Raw genomic sequence first — 23,476 nt, 5'->3', positions numbered from 1 at the left:
CTTGAGTCCTTTGTGGGAAAAGGTAGGATATGAAGAAGTTAAACAAATGGAAATGTGTAATGCTAATAATGATATCAGCATAGAAGTCATTGTAAATGTTTGGTGTCTGTTTCATTTTTGATAGCTACATTTGAAGCTCCTTGGGAGGGCTGACCTTGGAGCATATAGCTGAGAGCACATGGGATACTCTAGCCCCTCTGTCATTTAGCCAGTCAACAAGGAGAAGTTTTGACCTTGACTCTTTTGCAGATTATCAAAGACCTGCAGTTGCTGGGGTTGGTGGCAGCCCTGTTGATGGCTGATGTGATCCTGCTCATGACGTGGGTGCTGACTGATCCCATCCAGTGCCTCCAGATTCTCAGTGTCAGTATGACGGTGAGGGGCCAAATCCCTAGAGAATCTCATCCCCAAACTGGACTGACCTCTGTGGATACACAGGAGTCATCCTTGCAACAAGAAGATAAAGGACTCCAAGAGGAGGGAGAGTCAGGAGTTGTGGCTTCCATGTAATTCTTGCCCTAGTCTGCTGCCACTCCCACTGCTCCTCCTGCCCGAGTGTCTCTTTGTGGGCATACAATGAGATATCAGCATGCTGGAATCTGCCTGGCAGTTCTGCCACTTCCACATTATCAATAATTAAAACTTTCAGCTATCGGCAGTTACCTTCCCCTAATTGTAGAGGTGGAGGTAGTAGTTTAAGGTGGCCTTTGGAGTCAGTCAACCCTGGTTCAAATCCCAGCTCTACCAAGCTCACCAGTTGTGTGACCTTGGGAAAGTTATGTAACCTCTCTAAGTCTGTTTCCTAATTGGTAAAATTGAGATAATAATACTACCTATCTCATAGGGTTGTGGCAAAGATTAAATGAAACAATGTAGGTAAAAGACTTAACCATGTCCAGTACATACTATTCAATTAACAAGAAGTATGGCCGGGCACGGTGGCTCACGCCTGTAATCCCAGCATTTTGGGAGGCTGAGGCAGGTAGCTCACTTGAGGTGAGGAGTTTGAGACCAGCCTGGCCAACATGATGAAACCATGTCTCTACCAAAAATACAAAAATTAGCCAGGCGTGGTGGCACATGCCTGTAATCCCAGCTACTTGGGAAGCTGAGGCAGGAGAATCTCTTGAACCCAGGAAGCAGAGGTTGCAGTGAGCTGAGATTGCACCACTGCACTCCAGCCTGGGTGACAGAGTGAGACCCTGCCAAAAAAAAAAAAAAATTATTATATATCTCCAGCCTCACGAGGGGCTGAGGAATACAGTGGAATCATGGAATCGTGACACTGCAAGATTAATGTTTAAGGATTCAATGATTTGCAAAAAGCAGGTGCATAATGAAATAGTTTATAGTTTTGTTGAGGCACTAATTTGATTGGGGTAGCAAAGCACATAAATGAGGGGTAAGCCCTAGTGTCACCAAGCACACAGCTGTTAGCCCAACTTTATCATCTCTTCTCCTAACACGTAGTCACTCTCATTTAGGTTCTAGTGGAGTCACCTAAATGCTGCAGTTTTTACATACTGAGGGGGTATCATGTACTCTAGAAGAATTCATGCTCCAGCATGTTCACAAAGATCTGCTTTGTGTTCCTGGTAATTGTGGGCACCTCCAGTTCTGACTCTGTGTCCCTTCTAGGTGACAGGGAAAGACGTGTCCTGCACTTCGACCAGCACCCACTTCTGTGCTTCCCGGTATTCCGATGTTTGGATTGCTCTCATTTGGGGATGCAAGGTTGGTAACCACATCTGATATGGTCTCTGTCACCAAGAAAATGGATATGAAGAGGGAATTACAGGAATTAACGAGGTGATGTCTGCAAAGAATCTTGAACTCAGAGGAGACCTCTGTTGATGCATAAACTTCAAAGCCATGACTGTTTTTACTTTTCTATTTGTATTTGTTTGGGGGAGACCCTCCAACTCTTTAGACTCCCTCATTCAGTCCTCCCCCAAATCATCTGGAATTCACCCACTGTTTCTCCTATTTATTGGTCTGGTTTCTTAATTGATTTGACAATACCAGTTTTCCCTTCATCTTCCCTGCAAGAGGAATTATGAGGAGAAATTTGACCCAGCTTTATTTGTTCTCCTAAGTGCCCTTATTATGTCTCTTGTGTTTTCTTCAAGATTTGGGCGAAGGTGTCCTGGTGCCTTTCACCCACCTGACTTTCTCCCTCTGGTTGGAAGCAAGACTGGCTCTGAGACAGATGGCAGCATTCACAGGGCCCTTTGAGGGGTTCCACCTGTCTCACAGTGTCTCCCATACTGCCCCAAATCTCTCACCATTAGACTCATTTGTCTCTGTTAGATGGGCAAAAGTAGAATATTATTTCCAGAAGGTAGAGGATACCTGCATGGAGCACTGAGGATGGTCCTCAGAACAGGACAGCTGGTTTTCAGCTTAGGGAGACAGAGAACTGGTGCTGAGGGGTACAGGGCAGTCCTGATTCCATAAACAAGCAAGTCCTGCCTGACAGCAGACTACCTGTTGACTATCAGGGCAGAGAGTTCTGGTTGACTGATTACTGGCAGAGGAAAAGGAGGAGTTTTTGTAGAAATAAGTACCCTTTAAGGGTAAACTCTGGCCGGGCACAGTGGCTCACACCTGTAATCCCAGCACTTTGGGAGGCTGAGGTGGGTGGATCACTTAAGGTCAGGAGTTCGAGACCAGCCTGGCCAAACATGGTGAAACTCTGCCTCTACTAAAAATATAGAAATTAGCTGGGTGTGGTGGTATGCACCTATAATCCCAGCTACTTGGGAGGCTTGAGGCAGGAGAATCACTTGAACCTGGGAGGCAGAGGTTACAGTGAGCCAAGATTGCGCCACTGCACTCCATCCTGGGCAACAGAGCGAGACTCTATCTCAATAAAAAAAAAAAGGGGGGGTAAACTTTACCCACTTCACCACTAAGAAAGTATTAGAAGTTGTTGCTTGTGAGGAACAGGTTTAGGGGTAGGCCAGACTAGGGCAGGGAAACATTCCTTTTTAACTATGTGCAAATATTACTTTGACAGAAATATTTTTTAAAAGAAGACTCTAGGAAGTGAACAGCTCTTGATCTCCAGAATCTTGCTAATGGTTAAAAAAGGAGCTTTAGTTGTGACAGATCAGGGTTTGAATCTGACTCCGCCCCTGGCTAGCCAACCCTGAGCCTCATTTAACCTCTCTGAGCCTCAGTTTCCAAATTTTAAAATGCGGATGATGATAATATCCCCTCAGAACTGTTCTGTCTCTAAAGAGTTAATGCATGTTAAGAGTTTTCAGCCGCTCCTGGTCCATAGCAAGAGCTCAATAAATGTTAGATATTATTATTACTATTCTTCCACTGCCCCCTAGACACTTCTGGAAAATACATTGCCTCTGTTGGTTCCTTGAGTCCCTGTAGAAGAGTGTGTCCTCCCTAGCCCAGAAAGCCAGCACTTCCCCCATAGCTACTTACTTTGTGACTCAATTTGATTTATTTTCTCCATTGCCTTTTATATACTCTCATTTCCATTCTATTTTACTGTAATATCTTTCTGTAGGAAAAAGAAGGAAAAGGATGGAGCATCAGGAAACTTACTGAGCCAGACCCCATAGACTCCCTGGTCAGTGAGAAGCTCCTCAGGAGGACCCCAATCTCCACATTGAGTCCTAGGACCCCTGCTCTCTGTCAACTGCCCCCTACCCCACACTTCTCAGCAGTTAAGGCCAGTGATATGCAAGGATCAAATATGACTCACTCAGACACCAGCCAGGAATGTATAGACACTTGATTCACACCCATTTCCCCTTTAACAAGAATTTTAATGGAATTAAAAACTTTTAGTGGAATCATATCTGAACATTTCAAAATCACAGAATTAATTTCATTTGCCTTTTATTAAATTAGCAATGATCCAACTCTGCTGAATACCACCTGATGGCGTCAGTTACCCAAAAGTTGGGCTTCCCTGGTCTCCTGACTTATGTGTCCTCTAGTCATTGAAGATCTCAGGGTGGCCACATTTGGCCTTCAGGCCCCATTTGGGACACTGGGCATTAGGGGAACCTGGAAGGTATCTCTTCCATGCTGACTCCTTCCCTTCTGGCACAGCCAGTTCTCCAAAATATGTTCTTTAGTGTCACCCATGAAGGTGGAGTTGACCACGTCATATGATTTGAGGGTCACCAGCAGGTGTCCTGCTGATACCTGACTTTATTTTCATTATTAGTTCTCCCTCTGAATCCCACAGTCCCACCCCCACCTCGTCTCCCATGGCATCTTCACGTTCTGAGTCATCAACATGAACATTTTTAGGCTGGGCGCAGTGGCTCATGCCGGTAATCCCAGCACTTTGGGAGGCTAAGGCGGTTGGATCACCTGAGGTCAGGAGTTTGAGACCAGCCTGACCAACATGGTGAAACCCCATCTCTACTAAAAATACAAAATTAGCTCAGCATGGTGGCACAAGCCTGTAATCCCAGCTACTCGGGGGCTGAGACAGGAGAATCGCTTGAACCCGGGAGACGGAGGTTGCAGTGAGCAGAGATCATGCCATTGCACTTCAGCCTGGGCAACAAGAGCGAAACTCCATCTCAAAAAAAAAAAAAAAGAAGATTTTTGTGCTTACCTTAAATCTACCTACCAGACCAAGTGTTAAAAGCCAGGACCATGACTTCTTTGTGTCACTATTTTCTGCCCTACACGTACTATGGCACTGCACACATAGTCAGAAAGGTGAACCTAATTGAATCTATGTGTTATGTATTATTGACTAAAGCTTTGATTTCTGTATGAATGCAGCTCCTGTGGAGGGGGCAGCACTTTAAGGTGCTATGAGTTATTTTCTCCTTAGTACAAATGACAACTCTGAGAGCAGGTTTATATTCATAGGAAAGAGAACAGAATAGGGCCCTGGGTTCCTTGTAGGGGAGCAAGAAATGTCACAAAAAGGGTGAGAACTATAGATGGAGCTTTCGCTGTCTGTGCCTGCCCCACAGTCTTGCCTGGGTCCCAGCCTGCCTTTGTTCTCCCCTTTTTTTACCCTTCATCTCCCATAAACACTCACTGGCATGGAGCCGCTGCTAGCCTGTAGAGATCCTTTGTGTAAATTTTTTGAAGGCCCATCCCTTCTAGTCAGATGCAGTCTTGCAGGTGCAAGGCTTGGCAAGCAGATGGTGCCTTTGGGCAAATTAGAGAAAAGAGCCCCTTCCTATGGGCACTACCCTGGCTGTGGCACATGACTTGACAAGCAGATCAGAGGTCACTTTCAGCTTCCCTGTGCACCCTCAGCTTTGAGCAGGGCAACACCAGACAATGGCTGTGGTAGCACTCACTATCAGAGGTTCTGTGGGCCCACTGTCCTCCAAGTGCCCAACAGCTCTTTCTGTAGGGATACTAACCCACCCACATGATCCTGTCCTATGCCTTGTCTCAGAAGAGTCTTATTTAATGGCTGACTTGCTGACTTCTGATAAACTAATTCTCAGCAAAGGAGAGGAAAATAACATTTATTAAGTATCTAGTAGGTATAAGGGGCTGCCCTGAGGGTTTTCTTATGTGATATCTTAGTAAATCCTCATAGCAGTCCTTAAGGTAGGTATTATTATCCTAATTTTACAGATGAGGAAATTGGTTGCAAACCTACTGCTCATTGACCTCTTGTTCCACTTCTCTGAGCCTCCGTCACCTCTTCACCCCCCAGGGTCTGCTCCTGCTGTATGGTGCCTACCTGGCTGGCCTGACTGGCCATGTCAGCTCCCCTCCTGTGAATCAGTCCTTAACCATCATGGTGGGGGTCAACCTCCTTGTACTGGCTGCTGGGCTGCTTTTTGTAGTCACCAGATACTTGCATTCCTGGCCCAACCTGGTCTTTGGACTCACATCTGGAGGGATCTTTGTTTGTACAACTACAATCAACTGCTTCATCTTCATTCCCCAGGTATGGATTTTGCAGGGCTGGTCCTCTTAGTCACTCTAGAGTTTTTCACTGACAAATTGCTCATTTTGTTTTCTACTGATACCTTTCCATGCCACTTATTGGAGAGTCAGAAAGCAGACAGGGGATCCTAGTGAGCTGGTTGCCTTTGTCCTTTCTCACTGTCCTGGTCAGCAAGGGGGACAAGGCAGAGTGGTCCAAGCAGTGGTGGCAGCCCCTGTTTGCACTCTTCCACACCTGTGGTGCCTGTCCCTTGGGGGGGCTGCCTCGCAGTCCTGCTTTTCCATCCACCCTCTGGTCTGCTGCACTCGTTCCCCATCCTCCCCTCATTTCCATCATGTTATTACTATTTCTTTCACTAGCCTGGGAGCAAGGAACCTTTATATTTTTCCAATTGGGGATTGCAGACTCACAGGAAAAAATCCATTTAGATGGAACTTTATGATTTAAAGTGCTTTCTCTTTCTTTTTATTGGAGGAAAATACAGAACATTTCTCTGCTTTTTACAATAAGGAGAGGTAGAAACTAAATAAAAATATGTTTCATATTATGGGGATTTTAAAAAATCAAATGAGGGAGGAAGACAGAAGCAGAAATAGCCAGATAGCAAAGAAGAAAGGTAGTCAGAGGGAACAGAGAAGGAATCCTAGGCTCAGAAAGCAAGGGGATGTGGGATTGTTCATGCTACACCCTGGGGACCATCAAGCCACATATATCTAGGTTAATGAACTTGGCACTAGGTACTTTCTTGTTTCCCTCCTAGTTCTCCTTTTCTTCCCTCTGAGACCTCCCTCATCCCACTCCTCCTTCAAGACCCTGTCCTGATTCCCATTGCAACTTCCAGTTGACTGTAAACTAATTCCTCATGATGGAGCTAACTGATAATGTAAGTGTTGGCTGATGGCACGTTACAGTGTATTTGTGAAAGGGAAGAGTGCACTTTGGGTCATGATGGTATGACATGGGCATAGCCCTGTTACGATTCTTCTCTATCACAAATCCTCATTACAGTACTCAACAGAATACATAAATATGGAAAAATCTGCAGCAGCAGCACTAGAAACGATGGATGGCTATTGCCTCTGTGCCAGAAACTGGAGGAATTTTTGCCAAATCTTAATGCCGTAAAAACTGGAATGAAGGAAGCCATTTAGAGCTGAGGCTTGTTTGTCTGGGATGAGGCAGAAATGGGCTCTGAGAAGCAAGGACTGTTTCTCCCTGGGAGACCGGGGGCGGGGGCGGGGTGGGTGGGCAGGGGTAAGGGTAGGCAGGTGCCTTTTGGGAAGCCCACCCCTTAGGCCCTGCAGCCAATATTGTTGGATTGGTAGCGATCAACAATGCAGAGAACTGGTGCTGAAGGGTACAAGGCAGTCCTGATTCCATAAACAAGCAAGCCCTGCCTGACAGCAGCCTACCTGTTGACTGTCAGGGCGGAGAGGCCTGGTTGACTGATTACTGGCAGAGGAAAAGGAGGAGTTTTTGTAGAAATAAGTACCCTTTAAGGGTAAACTCTGGCCAGGCACAGTGGCTCACACCTGTAATCCCAGCACTTGGTGAGGCTGAGGTAGGCGTATCACTTGAGGTTAGGAGTTCGAGACCAGCCTGGCCAACATGGTGAAACTCTGTCTCTACTAAAAATATGAAAATTAGCTGGGCATGGTGGTGCACGCCTATAATCCCAGCTACTCGGGAGGCTGAGGCAGGAAAATCACTTGAACCCGGGAGGCAGAGGTTGCAGTGAGCCGAGATTGCGCCACTGCCCTCCAGCCTGGGCAACAGAGCTGCTAACCCCTTTCTTCCTTGCTTGCCTGCACTATAGAGACAGCAACAGCTAGACTCTTCTTTTGCCAGCTTCCCATAGAGATAGGAGTGCCTATATGACACCATTTTGAACACTAGAGGTTTTCTGAGAAGCTTCTGAGAAAGCTTTTGCTTTCCTGAAAAAGGTTATAAGCATGGCTAACATCACCCTTTTTACCTTCTTCCTGCCTTGAATGTATGTGATTCCTAGAGCTATGGCAGCTCTCTTGTGAACATAAGGAAAAGACTAAGAGAATATAGTTATAATACTAGGAAGATACAGCTCTTTCCATGTAAGATTATAAATTCTGGAGGAAATGATCTATGAAGGGAATCTGCAGTTCACAAGAAGAGGACTACAAATGTCTAAAGATTTAGAGAAGCTGCCTTCCTCTGGAGTAGAAGTGTTTAGAAGATACCGGACTTGTCAATAGAATTCAAAGGATATTGTCTCTTCTCAACTAAAGCAAACTATCATGAAAAAAAGCTAATCTTAATAAAATATTGAATAAGGATTAAAAATATGGTATTAAATTTAAAATCCCAATAGAAGCATTGACTGGGCAATTAGACACTACAAAATATTGAATTAGTGAATTACTTTAAGGAAACAGAAAATAAGGAAACAAATGAGAGACTAGATAAGAAAATATGGAAAATGGCCAGATGCAGTACCTCATGCCTGTAATCCCAGCATTTTGGGAGGCCGATGTGAGCGGATCACCTGAGGTCAGGAGTTCGAAACCAGCCTGACCAACATGGTGAAACCCCATCTCTACTAAAAATACAAAAATTAGCTGGGCGTTGTGGCATCCATCTGTAATCCCAGCTACTAGGGAGACTGAGGCAGGAGAATCGCCTGAACCCAGGAGGCAGAGGTTGCAGTGAGCCAAGATCACGCCATTGCACTCCAGCCTGGGCAACAAGAGCGAAAATCTGTCTCAAAAAATAAAATAAAAAGAAAAAAATAAAATATGGAAAACATCTAGGAATACAATTGAGAGCTGATAGGAGTCTCTGAAAGAGAACAAAATAATTTGGGGCAGAAGTCATTATCAAAGAGCTATCAGAGGAAAATGTTTCTGAACAAACAAAGCCTTGGTCAGAAAACTGAATGAATTGGCAATCTCCATGATGGCGCCCTGCTTACTGCTCCTCTCTCCATCCTCACCTCTCACCACTGCCCCCTTGCATCGTAAGCCTCAGCCACATCACTTCCCCTTTGCCTGGTGTTTGAGTCCTCAGCAGCTAGGACAATTGTGACATCTGGGTACTCTACACACAAAAATGCAGAATGAAGTGCTGCTTGAAATCTGCCTTCCAGGTTTTCACTAAGCAACAAACACTTGATTTGTTGAATTGGGAATGGAAATGGAATGATTATGAGGTACAGGAATTGGGTGGATGGACTGCACTGGCCTTGCTTTCCTTCTATCTCACTCCCTCTTTCCCTCCTAGCTTTCTTAAGCTTCCTTTCTCTTACTCTGTCTTTCCTCTTCCATTTTCTCCCTTGTGTTTTTTTTTTTTCTCCTCTGGAACTAACTGACCATGATGTGAAACTAAAAAATATATTTTGTAGTCTGTTGTATTTTAGGTTTAGATGGTAAGTAGTTCTTTTTCAAAATATAAAAGAAACTGAGGTTTGTTAGGTTTCTGTGTGTTTCCCTCTGGCTCCGAGGTCTTTGGTAGAAGAACGATTCTCCCTGTGATACTTGCACTGTGTATTCCTAGAAGATAATTTGGGAAAGTAATTTGAGTAAATTTGGGAAAGTGGGTGAGGGGAACTATCTGGGTAAGGGTTGGGGGTTGCAGCAAAACGGGGTTCCTTCTTGCCAGTGAGCTTTCAGACATGACTGTGATGGGAGGAGTTTGTGAAAGCAAAGGCACAGATACCCCCAGGGCAGCGAGGCAGCGCCAGAGAGCGGGTGAAATGGATGACATTACTAAGGAGACAAGGGGCCCAAGAAGCCTTCTTTACACAGGCACTCAGGAAATGCCTGAGTGTTTATGCCAAGCACTGAGGTCATCACTAGAAGTCAGCCAGCCGCTGCTGTTCTGACCTGAATATGACCCATCCCCCAGCCCTCTGCTCCCTCAGAGAGGCAGGCAGGTCCTAAGGTAGGACATTGTTTTCTCTCTCCTCTAACCCCGAAAGCATTTCATCTGCTCCTCCCTGAAGATGTGCAGGCCTTTCTAATCTGCCTTATAATTATATGTATATGTCCCAGCACCCCTACTAGACCAGTGAGCATTTTAAAGAAAGCTTCCTTCATTTGTTCATGCATGCATCCATCCATCCACTTATTAACTGCTGGGTACATGCACTTAAACACAGAGTCCGCCTCTAGGTCTAGTGGGGAGCAAACATGAAAGGAATTATCATACATGTGTTAAGAGCTTTGAGAAAGGCCTTCCCCAGCCCATCTGAGAACTCAGTGGCACCTTCTCAGAAAATGAGGCTGGGCATGGTGGCTCATGCTTATAATCCCAGCACTTTTCAAGGCTGAGGCGGGTAGATCGCTTGAGCCCAAGAGTTCGAGAGCAACCTGGTCAACATGGTGAAACCTGGTCTCTGCAAAAAATGCAAAAATTGGCTAGACGTGGTGGCTCACGCCTGTAATTCCAGCAGTTTGGGAGGACAAGGCGGGCAGATCACGTGAAGTCAGGAGTTTGAGACCAGCCTGGCCAACATGGTAAAACCCCGTCTCTACTAAAAATACAAAAAATTAGCTGGGTGTGGTGGCGGGCGCCTGTAATCCAGCTACTTGGGAGGCTGAGGCAGGAGAGTTGCTTAAACCGGGAGACAAGGGTTGCAGTGAGCCGAGATTGTGCCATTGCACTCCAGCCAGAGACAGAGTGAGACTGTCTCAAAAAATATAAAGCAAAAATTAGCCAGGCATGGTGGTGCATGCCTCTGGTCCCAGCTACCCAGGAGGCTGAAGTAGGAGGATCACCTGAGCCCAGGAGGTTGAGGCTGCAGTGAGCTGTGATTGTGCCACTGCACTCCAGACAGAGTAAGACCCTGTCTCAAAAAAAAAAAAAAAGAAGGAAGGAAGGGAGAGAGGGAGGGAGGGAAGGAGGGAGGTAGGAAGGAAGGAAGGAAGGAAGATGAGGTGTTCGAGCTCAGTCTTGAAGGAAACATAAGAGTTCATTGAAGAGATGGGGGAAAGTAGGTGGCATTTCTGATGGAATAACATCATGACCAGAGGCAGGGAGGCTAGAAAGAGAGTAGCGTATGTTTGGAGCACCATGGTCTTTGTTATTTTTGAAGCACAAATGGAAACCAGGGGGAGAATGACAGGACTGGGGAGAGACACACCTGGGGAGCTTCTGAGGCCCTGCTGGACCCTGTTAAAGAGTTGACATTTAGTCCCACCATATTAGTTTCCCACTGCTGCTATAACAAATTCCCACAAGCTTAGTGGCTTAAAATAATACAAGTTTATTATCTTAAAATTTTGGAGGTCAGAAATCTGAAATAGGTCTTATTTGGCTAAACTTAAGGTGTCAGGAAGTCTGTATTCCCTCCAGAGATGCAAGGGGAGAATCTGTTTCCTTGTCTTTTTCAGCTTCTAGAGGCCGTCTGCATTCTTGTGCTTATTGTCCCCTCCTCCACCTTCTAAGCCAGCCAGGTTCAAATCTGCCAGAAGAGATTCAAATCTTTCTCTCTCTCGCCCCTGTTTCCATTGTCACATCTCCTTCTCCAACTCTGGCTCTCCTCCCTCCCTCCTATAAGGATTCTTGTGATTACATTGGGCCCACTTGGATAACCCAGAATAATCACCCCTCTTGAAATCCTTAATTACATTTGCAAAGTCCCTTTTGCCACATAAGGTCACATATTCACAGGCTCCAGGAATTAGGATGAGAGAGAACATCTTTGAGAAGCCACTGTTCAGTCTGCCACACCCCCATAGCCCAGAGGCTCAGAAAACCAGAATCTGCCTGTCCTTCTGGAGGAAGGCAGAGGAGAGGCCCTGAATTGTGAAATTCATAGCTGGATTCCAGAAACCCTGAAGGGTTGAGCCTTAAGGAGTATCTTCACAAATGAGGAATGAAGGGCTAGAGTAATCAAGGGGTATCTTGGCTCCACTTGGCCAATTTAGAGACAGGAAGACCAAAAGCCCTGGGAGGGCCCTTACGCCAGTGCTGAGCTGCTCCTCTGCCAGCCCTGCAGAGAGGCCTCAGTCTGGGAGTGCTGGGGGAGATGAAGGAAAAGCTGTACTGCAGCACTGCCAGGGTCAGTGTGAGGAGAATAACCCTAGGAGGTCTGATTCATCCACCCAAGGCCACAGATGACCTTGTGTTGTTGGCTCCAGTAGCTCCCAAGTAGGATGGTGAGCTGAGAGCATCCTTTCGTGGGGAGGGGGCCTTCAAGAAGGGCATCTGAGAGGGGAGGTACCAGGCCTGACCCAACACAGGTCACACAGACTCCTGGTGCGATGATGGACTCATGATGAGTCAGCAGAGGACCCAAGAGGACTTGGGTGATAATATCAATTTCAGTGGCATTGAAATTGATGGCAGGATTCAGAATCCTATCTGAGATTTACAAAATTTGGTTTACACTCCATGGTCGGAGCTTAACAAATGTTTGATGGATGAGTAAAGAAATCCCAGGATCCCTTTGAGGCTACCCATAGACACTGCAGCATCATTTCTAGAATCAAGGTCCCAGGGTCCCCAGTGTCCATCACTAGGACACTTAGTTATGGGGATTCCTGAGAGGAAAACAGAGGCCTTCCCCACTGTGGCTTCCTGCGTCACTCACATTACTGTCATTCGGTGGGTCAGCAGTACCCCACAGACTCAGGCAGAGGCTCCTGTTTCTATGTTCAGCTTCATTCCTGTTAAACTAAACCAGCCCATGCTTCTGCAGAGTGTTCCTCAAGACCAGTTTCTCCTGAAGAGCTTTCCCTGGACTGCCACCGTTAACAGTCTCTCTCTTCATCAACTGAGTGAGGACACAGACATGGCACAGTGTCCTGCTTACAGCTGTTGTTCTGCTGCTAAGTGGCTGTGTAAGCTTAGACACAACACTCCTGAGCCTTTCCTAGTTTGTCAAAGAAACTGGGTGATGAGCTAGAGCATCCTGATGTGACTAGGGGGCTTCCCTCAAAGGCTCTCTGAGCCTTGATTATTGACTTGGGTTAGAAGTTCACCCAAAGGAACTGAATTTTCAATAGCAGCAAGCACATTGTTACTGAACAAATGAAAAATAATTAAATAGCTGCATGCAACGAGAAAGTGTCATTTGAAACTTATAGTGTTCAGGTTGCTTAACCCCAGGATAGCTCCTAACTCTGGCTTTAGAATGTGGTGGTAGAAGATACTTCAGCTCTGGTTTTCTTTGACCAGTTTGGCAATGGGTAGGCAGATGGGCTAAGGCTGTTCTATTTTATCTACCTGTCCTATTCTTCCTTTGGAAATTTGTGTTTGTTTTTAGGGTGTTTTGGGTTTTTGTTTTTTTTTTTTAAGATTGGGTCTCACTCTGCCACCCAGGCTAGAGTACAGTATCACAACAATAGCTCACAGTAGCCTGAAACTCTTGAGCTCAAGTGATCCTCCCACTTCAGCCTCCTGAGTAGCTGGGATTATAGGAGTGAGCCATTGCACCCAGCCCTTTGGCATTTTAAAAATTATATAACCTTAACATTTTGTATAATTACAAAAGGTAAGGACCTTTTGTCATTACCATCTTTGAGCCCTCCAGAGCAAAGTACATTTTAAGGAGAGAATAGCTTGCGCATGTGTGTATCTATGATAGTGTCATTCCTTGGTGTTTATGAGAAAGAGTGAGAGAGTGTGTTTCTGGATGTGTAATTAAATAAATAACATGTGTTCTTTTATCTAACAGCTGAAGCAATGGAAGGCATTTGAAGAGGAAAACCAAACAATCAGACGCATGGCCAAATATTTCAGCACTCCCAACAAAAGCTTCCATACCCAGTATGGTGAGGAGGAGAACTGCCACCCGAGGGGAGAGAAAAGCTCCATGGAGAGGCTCCTCACAGAAGTAAGCTCTGCCCCTGCCTGGAAGATTCCCTGTAAAGGATCCAATCATGCATCGGTGGCCCCCAAGGCTCTTATTGCTGATGTTCTCTTTTCCTCTCATTCTCCCACTTCTCTTAACAGCAAGCAAAACCTCACCATTTCCACCGTGACACGCATCTACTTCATTCATTCAGTGGACAGATGTATAATGAGTCACTCCTATGTGCCAGGCATTGTGCCAGTGAACAATGAACAAAAGCATGGTTCCTACCCTCACAGAGCTCACAGTCTAGTGGAAGAAATAGAGATTCATTCATCAAGCAAACATGTAATTATACATTGTCATAAGAATTATGAAAGAAAAATCAGAGTGGTAAGACAGAATAATGTGTGGTAAGGGCAAGAAAACATAACTTAGACCAGTCAGAAAAGACTCATTGAGCTGAGGGCTGAAGGTTAAGTACAAATTAGCCAGGCAAAGAGTACAGGGAAAAGTATTCCAAGCTGCGGGAACAGCATTGTAAAGGCCCTGAAATGTGGTGGACACTAGCTTCCCTGTGATACATTTTCTCTCTTTTTTTTTTTTTTTTTTTTTTTTGAGATGAGGCCTCACTCTGTTTCCCAGGCTGGAGTGCACTGGTACCATCTTGGCTCACTGAAACCTCCACCTCCTAGGTTCAAGCAATTCTCCTGCCTCAGCCTCCCAAGTAGCTGGGACTACAGGCACCCACCACCATGCTCAGCTAACTTTTGTATTTTTAGTAGAGACGGGGTTTCACCATGTTACCCAGGTTAGTCTCAAACTCCTGACCTCAAGTGATCTACCTGCCCTGGCCTCCCAGGGTGCTGGGATCACAGGTGTGAGCCGCCGCGCCTGGCCTCATTTTCTCTTTTTACATAGAGTAGTGTCTTCATGTCCAAGATCTCCTGGGGTCCTTACTGTCTTTCCCAGGTACTGGCTACAGATCTCAATCAGCCCATCATCCCAGAAAGTCCAGGCATGTCTACAGATGGAGAAGGGGACTAAACAAGGGCTTCTGAATGTGATTGTAGCACCAAGGGAGAATGAGGCAGCTCCCCCGGGCTTCTTTCTTCTGTATTTGAGCCAGAGTTGGCCCCTCTCCCAGACTTGGGCAGTGTGATGCAGGCATGAAGAAAGCACGTGGAAAGGTTTGAAGGCTTCGTTGACTCAGGAAGAAGGCACAGGGCCCAGGGGAGTTAGTCAGTATTTTGACACTAACTGAATTACATTCCATATTTTTTCAGTTTAGAACCTATCTCAGGAGGTGTTATTTGGAAAACTGGGCTTTTTTTTTAGGACTGCTGCCTAGGTATTAATAGTCCCTGATGAGAGGATAGTGTGGTGGGGACCTAGAAAACACAACAGATGAAGGGACTCAGCACACCCAGGCACCCACCGTTCATGCCCCTCTATGGTTCTGGACCATTTTTGTCCATCAGAGTAACACCTCTCCATTTCTTTACTATTAAGTATTTCAAAGCCAGATTTCTTTCCACCTGGCAAGGGAGTAATATTGCCTTTGATACTCTGTGAAGTCTTCAAATAAGCATTTTTTTTTCCTGGCTACACAGAAGGCCAGAAACTTGGCTAGAACAGCCAGGATAGTTTTCATTCACAGTCAGCTGATGCTGGAACAGCCAAGTGGACTGACTCTTTAGCCTTATGGTAATTTGCAACGTGCTGTTTGTACTTCTGCCATGCTACCCTGTTTCCCACGCAGGGACTCAATCTGCTATATCCAAAAAGATGCTTTGAGTCTGCAGAGGAAGCCCTTCAATGGGCACAGGTGCACAAGTGGTAAGAAGCTGGCCTCCCCAGTGCACGCTACACCTGGAATCTCTTTCCCAGAACAGGCCAGAGAACAAGCGGCCAGTCCTAGGGCCCGGTGGCAGGTGTCAGGAGGTTCCAGCATCTGCATCCCCAGCTCCAGCATTGCCCGTTAGAGAAACATGAGTATCTCTCCTGGCTCAACATATGTACAGACCTTGACTCTGGCCCATGGTGTGCAGTGCCTTCCTGTGCAGGCCCCACTCCCCCACTCAGGCCTTCCTCTTACTTTCCCGTGATCTGGGCAGCCCCATCTTCTCACACTTTTCCCTCTTGCCTCTATAGCCAGGGGTCCCCCCAGAAGCTGTTTCGGACAGCATCTATCACATCTATCACTGACTTCCCTGTCTAAGAGAAGGCCAGCAGACAGAACCTTCCACAAGGCTGAAGTGCTTTCCTCATACACTCTGCAGCCAAGTAAACAAACCTATTACTTTTGTTACCTGAACCATAGAAACAAGAGGCTAATTCCATGTCTCCTTATGGCCTGCCCCCTGTGAAACATGCAGGTGGATGTTTTGCTTCCCTCAATATGCCAAAAATAATAATTAATAAGCTCATTGAAGTGCAGCTGCCGTGGTAGGTCAGATTTCAGTCTCATAATGGCAGTGCCTCACACCACACCTCTAATTAGTATGCAGCCATGGTAAAAACAGAGTCCCACTTCTTTTTCTGGAAGAAGGAAATTTTCTGTTTAGGTTGATGTTTCTAAATCTGTCACCAGCCAGCTTCTTCCCAACTCCATGTTTATAGTATCTTTCTATACTCAAAGGAGTTTATAGATAAGGCACAAAAAGACAGCACTCAGATTTCACCCACGGGAGTAGTTGCCATCTGCCGATGGGTCCTTCCTAACTCTGTGAGGCTATAGAGGCCTCCAGAAGCCCACATGAGAATGTGCACGATGGGCTTCAGGAGGAGAGGCTGGTGGAGGAGGGAGTTGAGGTCCCCCCATGAGATCCTCAGAGAGATGCCTGGCACAGCCCAGGATCACAAACACCTGAGTGTTTCCCTATTGCTCATCCATTCTGCCCCTGACAAGTCCTTGAGTCATCTGCACTCACCCAGCAACACCCAGACCTCACCACTCTGCGGGCAGAGGGAAGGGAGGGAGGACAGGCACACATGTGCTCAGCTGAAAGTCTCTTCTACCTTACTCACCAGTCCCTCACTGGCCCTGGACTCTCTTCTGATGGTAAAAGAAGTATACTCAACCAGGGTGAAACTAGCAATACCAACTATCAGAAAAATCACCTTCCCAATTCTACAAGGGGAGCAGTGCATCTGCTTGGAGAGTTGCTAGTCAGAATATTGGACTATTTTGCTTAAGCTACTGCTCCCTTAAAGGATCATTTCTAGGCAACTCTCCCATGTAAACCTGAGATGAAACCACAGGTTCACTCTATAACTAGTAGTCCTAGTTAGCTGTTATGGACGGTATAACTAGGCAATTTGTATTGGTTATCCTAACACAGGGAACATCCTTTTGTTTCTAGGGCATAATAAATGGAGGTCCAAATGCTCATGCCCAGCTCCTAAAGATGATAGTAACAAAGAGGTAGCATTTTGGTGTTCAGACAAGCACTTTCTAGAACATTTGCTTACATTATTGCCTTCCCAGAACCCTCGACCCCATGTCATCTGCCCCAAGTCCAGACGTTCCCTGTGAATATCTCCTCCCTGCTCTGCCTTTGAGGATCAGAAGTTTCCAGAGATGGACACACAGTCTGAACTAGAGAATCAGCTGCTGCACCACAGAAAGATGTCTGGGCTGCAGTCGTTCCCTGCAACCCACTGCCAACACTCCTACTCCTACTTCATGCCCCACAATCTCGCAGTTAGGACAGGCACACCTCTGCAGCTCTCACCTGCCAGCCCTCTCCGGCACAACTTGTTTACCAGCTAACATCCAGCGAGTAGGCAGGTCAGTAGCAGAACTGCCCCAGGCTCCTTCGTCTCCTGGGCTCCATTCTAGGGCTGCTGAATCAAGCTAGCAGGGGCTTAAGCCCAACAGTCCTTTCATTTCTTTGTGCTTCTTCAATAGTTCTGATGCTTGCACTCCTTTAGGTGAGTGGTTCCCAACATTTTTGGCACCAGGGACCACTTCCGTGGAAGACAGTTTTTCCACAGATAGTGGTGGGGGGATGGTTTCGGGATGAAACTGTTCCACCTCAGATCATCAGACATTAGCTTCTCATAAGGAGTGTGCAGCCTAGACCCCTCACATGTGCAGTTCACAATAGGGTTTGCGCTTCTGTGAGAATCTAATGTCTCAGCTGATCTGATGGAAGCTCAGGTGGTAATGCTTCCTCACCCACCGCTCACCTCCTGCTGTGCGGCCTGGTTCCTAACAGTCCATGGACTAGTACTGGTCCGTGGCCCAGGAGTTGGGGACCCCTGCTTTAGGTGAAATCAACAGCTGATATTGCCACATGGTAGCTTTGGCCACTCACTCCCAGAGGTCCAGCCTAGGGAGGTGATAACACCAACCTGAGATTCTCTTTGGCCCCTCTCAGCTCCAATCTTATTTGATTGTCACAGAAATCTCCACCCTTCTCCTTGTTCTTCCCATTTTCTAGGCTGTTTAGTAAGAGGCAAAATACTTGTTCTCCTACTTCTTCATCCCCTGGAGATATGCTTCACATTTATCTAAATTTTTGCAAAAGTGTGATAAACTCCAAGTGGGACCATTCCAAACATTATTCAGCTCATACCTGCGGAGTGGCCTGACCCTCTCAGTTCTGGGAAAGGTGAGAGGGCGCTGCAGTGGCCAGCAGGCACTCAGACTGGGCCTCCTTGCTCTTCATAAGCAATGCCGCACAGTGTGGGGATGTAAGGAGAAGACCAAGATAATGACAATAAATCATGGTTGGCCTTTATTGAGCACCGTTTATGTCAGTTATTGTGCTAGCACTTTACATGCATCAACTCATTTCACTGGAGGGAGGCACCTCCTTAGAACCTGAGGTCACCAGCCAATACACTGGAAGAACTGAGATTTCAGCCAAGGTTCTTTGAAAGCCACACCTTCTCCACCATGGTGGGCACTATGGAACCCTCGGCGGCATCTTTTGTTGATGGTTTTGCTTTTATTTTACAGAAAAATGCTGTGATTGAAAGCCTGCAGGAACAAGTAAACAACGCCAAAGAGAAGATTGTGAGGCTGATGTCAGCTGAGTGCACCTATGACCTCCCAGAGGGGGCTGCCCCACCTGCCTCTTCCCCGAACAAGGACGTCCAGGCGGTAGCCTCGGTCCACACCCTGGCAGCTGCTCAGGGGCCTTCGGGTCACCTCTCTGACTTTCAGAATGATCCTGGCATGGCTGCCCGGGATTCCCAGTGCACTTCAGGGCCCTCCTCATATGCACAAAGCCTTGAGGGGCCTGGGAAGGACTCCAGCTTCTCCCCAGGGAAGGAGGAGAAGATATCTGACTCAAAAGACTTTTCTGATCATTTAGACTCAGGTTGTAGCCAGAAGCCATGGACTGAGCAAAGCCTGGGTCCAGAAAGAGGAGACCAAGTCCCCATGAACCCCAGCCAGAGTCTCCTACCAGAAAGAGGCGGCTCAGATCCCCAGAGACAGAGGCATCTGGAGAACTCAGAGGAGCCCCCAGAGCGGCGGTCACGGGTTAGTTCAGTAATCAGGGAGAAACTTCAGGAGGTCTTACAAGATCTGGGCCTGGGCCCTGAGGCTTCCCTCTCCACCGCCCCCTCTTGTCATCAGCAAACCTGGAAGAACAGTGCTGCCTTCAGCCCCCAAAAGATGCCCCTCTCCAAGGAGCTCGGCTTTAGCCCTTACATGGTGAGGAGAAGGCGGGCAGCTCAGCGGGCCCGCTCACACTTTCCTGGCTCTGCACCCTCATCTGTGGGGCATCGGGCAAACAGGACTGTTCCTGGGGCACACAGCAGGCTACATGTGCAGAATGGGGACAGCCCCAGCCTGGCCCCACAAACTACTGATTCCAGAGTACGAAGACCTTCTTCCAGGAAGCCTTCACTACCTTCAGATCCTCAAGACAGACCAGGTACCCTGGAGGGCAGCAAACAAAGCCAGACAGAGCCCGAGGGGGCTAGAGGGAGCAAAGCAGCCTTTCTTCGCCAGCCTTCTGGTTCTGGCCGGGCCCCAAGTCCTGCTGCCCCATGCCTCTCCAAAGCCTCACCTGACTTGCCTGAACAGTGGCAGCTGTGGCCCCCAGTGCCCTCAGGCTGTGCCTCCCTGTCTTCTCAACACAGCTATTTTGATACTGAGTCCAGCAGCTCAGATGAGTTCTTCTGCCGCTGCCACCGGCCCTACTGTGAAATCTGCTTCCAGAGCTCTTCTGACTCTAGTGACAGTGGCACATCAGACACTGACCCTGAGCCTACTGGGGGGCTGGCTTCCTGGGAAAAGCTGTGGGCCCGCTCCAAGCCTATTGTGAACTTCAAAGATGACTTGAAACCCACGCTGGTGTGAAAAGCAACAGAGCTGGTCTAGACACAGAGGTCAGTCCAAGAGAAGCTGTACCAAGGCCCACAGGAGAAGAGCCAATTTCTGGTCTTTGGGGAACAGATTAGTGCCCTGCATTTGACCAGCCCATACCATGTTTCAGCTAGGCTCACTGTGTTACTTTGAGTACTTCTTGATCTATAAAAAGAGAGGCATTGCCTGTCCTGTTACTACCTCGCAGCCTTACTATAAAAGACTCCAGTTGAGTGACTATGAAAGACACTGACTCCTTGGATAAAAGGTGCTGAATGAACACATAGGATTTTCTGTCCAGGTCAGCCTACATTCTGTAAAACTCTTAATATATTCAGATGGATGGCTGAATGGACAGACAGATGGAGAGATGCATGGGAAATTTCTGTAGAACTTGAGGTGTGGACTGTGACCCATCAAACTGGCCTTTTGGTGGACAGACCTACCAGGAAGATAAGTCTCCTACATCCTTGGGCCTCCCACTCCTGGAAGGCAGTGGTTTTATTTCTGCTGAATGTTGTGAACAGCACCTCCCTAGATTCCAGCTTCTGGCCAGACCCAGCTCAGAGCCACCCCTACACCACTATTTCTTGATGGTGTCTTTCCACCATTATGGCACTTTACCCTCCTCTCTGAGACAGATCTCCATGCGCCCGCAGGCTTCCCAGATCTCTCCCCTGGGATCGGATGTACCTGAGGTCCTGACTGTCCCCACTGTCCCCTTGTCCTGTGGCTCATCCTCGATTCACCCACTGATGCAGTTTTGTACTGCGGGGAGGCACACACCAGCAATTTCTGTTGGGGTATGGGAGAACCTGTTGGTCAAGAGTGCTTTTGGTTCCATTGGGGTTACATGACTACCAACAGACACATAAACCTGGAAGCCAAATGGAGAAATAAAAAGGAAGACACGAGGGACACGAAAACAGGAAAGAAAACAGGATTTGAATATTTCACTTGAGTCCAGCATAGTACTTGGCAATATCATATTTTTGTGATTCCTTTTGATAACCCTGTGAAGTAGACACTTTCATTTTTACAGACAAGGATTATGAGGCTTAGAGAAATGAGGTAGTTTCCCGCAACATCACACTGCTGGACAGAGATGTACACACAGCTCCTGGGACTCAAGTAGGTGGGTTTTCCCAGGGACACATGGCTTCATGTGTTCTTCTGGGAATGGCAGGTGACGCTTGGCAGACGAGACAACAAAGCAAGGCTCATGTAAGAAAGCTGGGATGTGCTCCCCTATAGTCCAGAATAATAGACCTGGGTCCTCACCTCAGGAAACGGGCCTCCACTTCCTCACTGCCAAAGGCCACACTGGCACCTCCCAAGGGAGCTGGGGAGCTGGTGAAGGATGAGTGCGAGGAACTCAGCCACCACCAGAGCCACAGGGAGAGCACACCTGGGTCCACTGTGCTTATTGCTGAGCTGGCTGTCATGTCCAGGCTGTCCCCTGCCCCGAGTCCTGTGTATACATCTGTGGGTGTGCACATGTTTGCATGAAGGAATTCAGGCCTTATTAAATATTCTCAGAGGGGGGCATTTGGCTCTAAATGTATCATCAATTTATCATGGAATCTTGGGGGCTGCTGACACCCCTGGACTCTCCAGGCACTGAACCATGAGGCCCTCCTGGAAGCACAGCTTCTTCTATCATCTACTTTTAAACAGGAATTTCCTAATTTATTCTGTGCATGGGTTTGCAGTTTCTTGTGCTGTGTGTGTGCTGTCCAAGTGGTACCATAATAAAAGAGAAATGACTCCCGAGAGGAGTCTTTTCAGAAACTGTAATCTGGGGCTGGCCAGGAGGGGCCCGGAGAAGGCTGACCCACCCAAAGAAGGGGAACCAGAGAAGCCATCAGAGCTGCTGCCGGGCTACCCTGGGTCCCAGTGTACCTTCTACCAAAGTTCCATTTGAACAGATTCTTCTGTGTTCTCCCTAAGAAGCCTCTTATCCCAGAAACACTCCCTCAATGGACATAGGAAACCCTGGAGACCCTGGACTCTTCCTGCCCCTGGGGGTCCTGTGGCTGGGCTCCCCCTCCTGCAGCTCCCTTCCTCCCAGCATGCCACCACTAGCAGCCCACCATTCATTCATGTGGACTCTAAATCTGGCAATCCTTCTAGCCTTCTCACTCTGTCTGCTTCTAGAACCTTAGTCCCACCATCCCCGCCCTTCTACATCTCCATCCTTCTGTTTAGAATTTTTTTTCCCACTTTGTGCCCTTGTGAATTATTCATCCTTCAAGGCTCAGGTGGAGCATACATTCTTTCTTCAACCTTTCCCAGCCATCCCCAAAGAAAGCTGATTGATTCCCTAGTTAAATAAGGAAGGATGGGCTGGAAGCAGTGGCTCACGTCTGTAATCCCAGCACTTCGGGAGGCCGAGGCGGCCGGATGACGAGGTCAGGATTTCAAGACCAGCCTGGCCAACATGGTGAAACCCCGTCTCTACTAAAAATACAAAAATTAGCCGGGCGTGGGTGGCACATGCCTGTAATCCCAGCTACTCAGGAGCCTGAGGCAGGAAAATTGCTTGAACCGGGAGACAGAGGTTGTACTAAGCCTAGATGGTGCCACTGCACTCAAGCCTGGGTGACAGAGCAAGACTCCGTTTCGAGAAGAAAGAAAGAAGAAAGAGAAAAAAGAGAAGGAAGGCTGTCTTAGGGTCTGTATTTTGGACTCAACTATATAGAGGCTTCTGTTATCCATTTGACCTAGAATGACTTTGTAACGCTTGCCAGACCTGATTGAAATTTATCATTTTGTTCAAAAGCAATGTGCAAACACCATAACTGTGCTCAACAAAATGTTGCCACCAAATGTATCATTTACTCTGTGCATCACCCCTACCCTTCCCCACCTCCTTTCCTAAATTTTTACCTAAGATCAGCTAATCCAGTGATGAAATCCTTAAAGGGCTGAATGTGCCATGACTTTTGGCATGCTCTTGGTTGTTCTGCTCTTGAAGAAAGGGCAGTAAATTGTGCAAAGGAATCCTGGAGAAGTAAACATTGCCTCTGCTGCTGTCATCTGAGCTATACATGTCTCTGTTGGTCCTAAGGCATAGCATGGAGCCAGGCCTGATTCTAACCCCAGCATATGTCCTCTGCTGTTGAAAATCTTGGAATTTCAACATTTGGATTCCATCCTGATCCCAATGTCTTTCCCTGTCCTGGTCTGCCACAAACCCTCTTTCCTTAAAGGTTCAACTTGGCCTTCCTAGAGTTCATAGAGGAGAAAAAAAGCATCAGAGGCAGGAGGCCTGTTTTTAAAGAATGATATCACTTTGAAAGAGGAAAAGAGAAAAGTCAATGCAAGTTCTATAAAATCTCTTCTGTATCTGTGTTTATCGTATTATCTTTACATGTGTCTCCTCCACAGATTCCAAGCTCCTGAAAGCATTGAGCATGTCTTCTCCATCGTTTTTCTCCTCTAGAGTAGCCATTACAGATCTTTGCAC

General features: G+C 47.1%; 1 protein-coding gene and 1 long non-coding RNA gene across 8 annotated transcripts in view, besides 1 other annotated feature; one reads left to right on the top strand and one right to left on the bottom strand.

The window, feature by feature from the left end:
- Positions 1 to 21,555, top strand: part of GPR156 (G protein-coupled receptor 156) — a 119,745-nt gene extending 98,190 nt beyond the window's left edge. For 5 of the 7 annotated variants that reach the window (NM_153002.3, XM_017005796.2, XM_017005795.2 and 2 more), the window contains 5 exons: positions 250 to 375; positions 1,639 to 1,734; positions 5,672 to 5,908; positions 13,563 to 13,721; positions 18,649 to 21,555. In NM_153002.3, the coding sequence (NP_694547.2) occupies positions 250 to 375; positions 1,639 to 1,734; positions 5,672 to 5,908; positions 13,563 to 13,721; positions 18,649 to 20,001 (1,971 nt within the window). In that variant the 3' untranslated portion in view covers positions 20,002 to 21,555. Of the gene's footprint in view, positions 1 to 249; positions 376 to 1,638; positions 1,735 to 5,671; positions 5,909 to 13,562; positions 13,722 to 17,219; positions 17,473 to 18,648 lie in introns of those variants that run through there. The other 2 variants (NM_001168271.2, XM_011512488.3) reach the window with 2 other exon arrangements.
- The window catches only part of LOC105374065 (uncharacterized), a 39,736-nt gene continuing 17,893 nt past the window's right edge, over positions 1,634 to 23,476 (bottom strand). The window contains exons 2-3 of the long non-coding RNA XR_924392.3: positions 3,445 to 3,523; positions 1,634 to 1,760 (exon numbers count right to left, since the gene is read on the bottom strand). This is a non-coding gene — a long non-coding RNA (uncharacterized LOC105374065). The remainder of the gene's footprint in view (positions 1,761 to 3,444; positions 3,524 to 23,476) is intronic.
- Positions 16,480 to 16,704: a silencer, noted in NCBI's record as "fragment chr3:119889176-119889400 (GRCh37/hg19 assembly coordinates)". NCBI's record gives its function as "represses an EF-1alpha promoter that drives an FKBP-Casp9 reporter gene in an ReSE screen in K562 erythroleukemia cells {active_cell/tissue: K562}" and the evidence as "EXISTENCE:reporter gene assay evidence [ECO:0000049][PMID:32094911]".

This window comes from Homo sapiens, chromosome 3 (genome assembly GCF_000001405.40).
Source record: "Homo sapiens chromosome 3, GRCh38.p14 Primary Assembly".
Lineage (NCBI taxonomy): Eukaryota > Metazoa > Chordata > Mammalia > Primates > Hominidae > Homo > Homo sapiens.
This window is presented reverse-complemented; position numbering and strand designations above follow the sequence as displayed.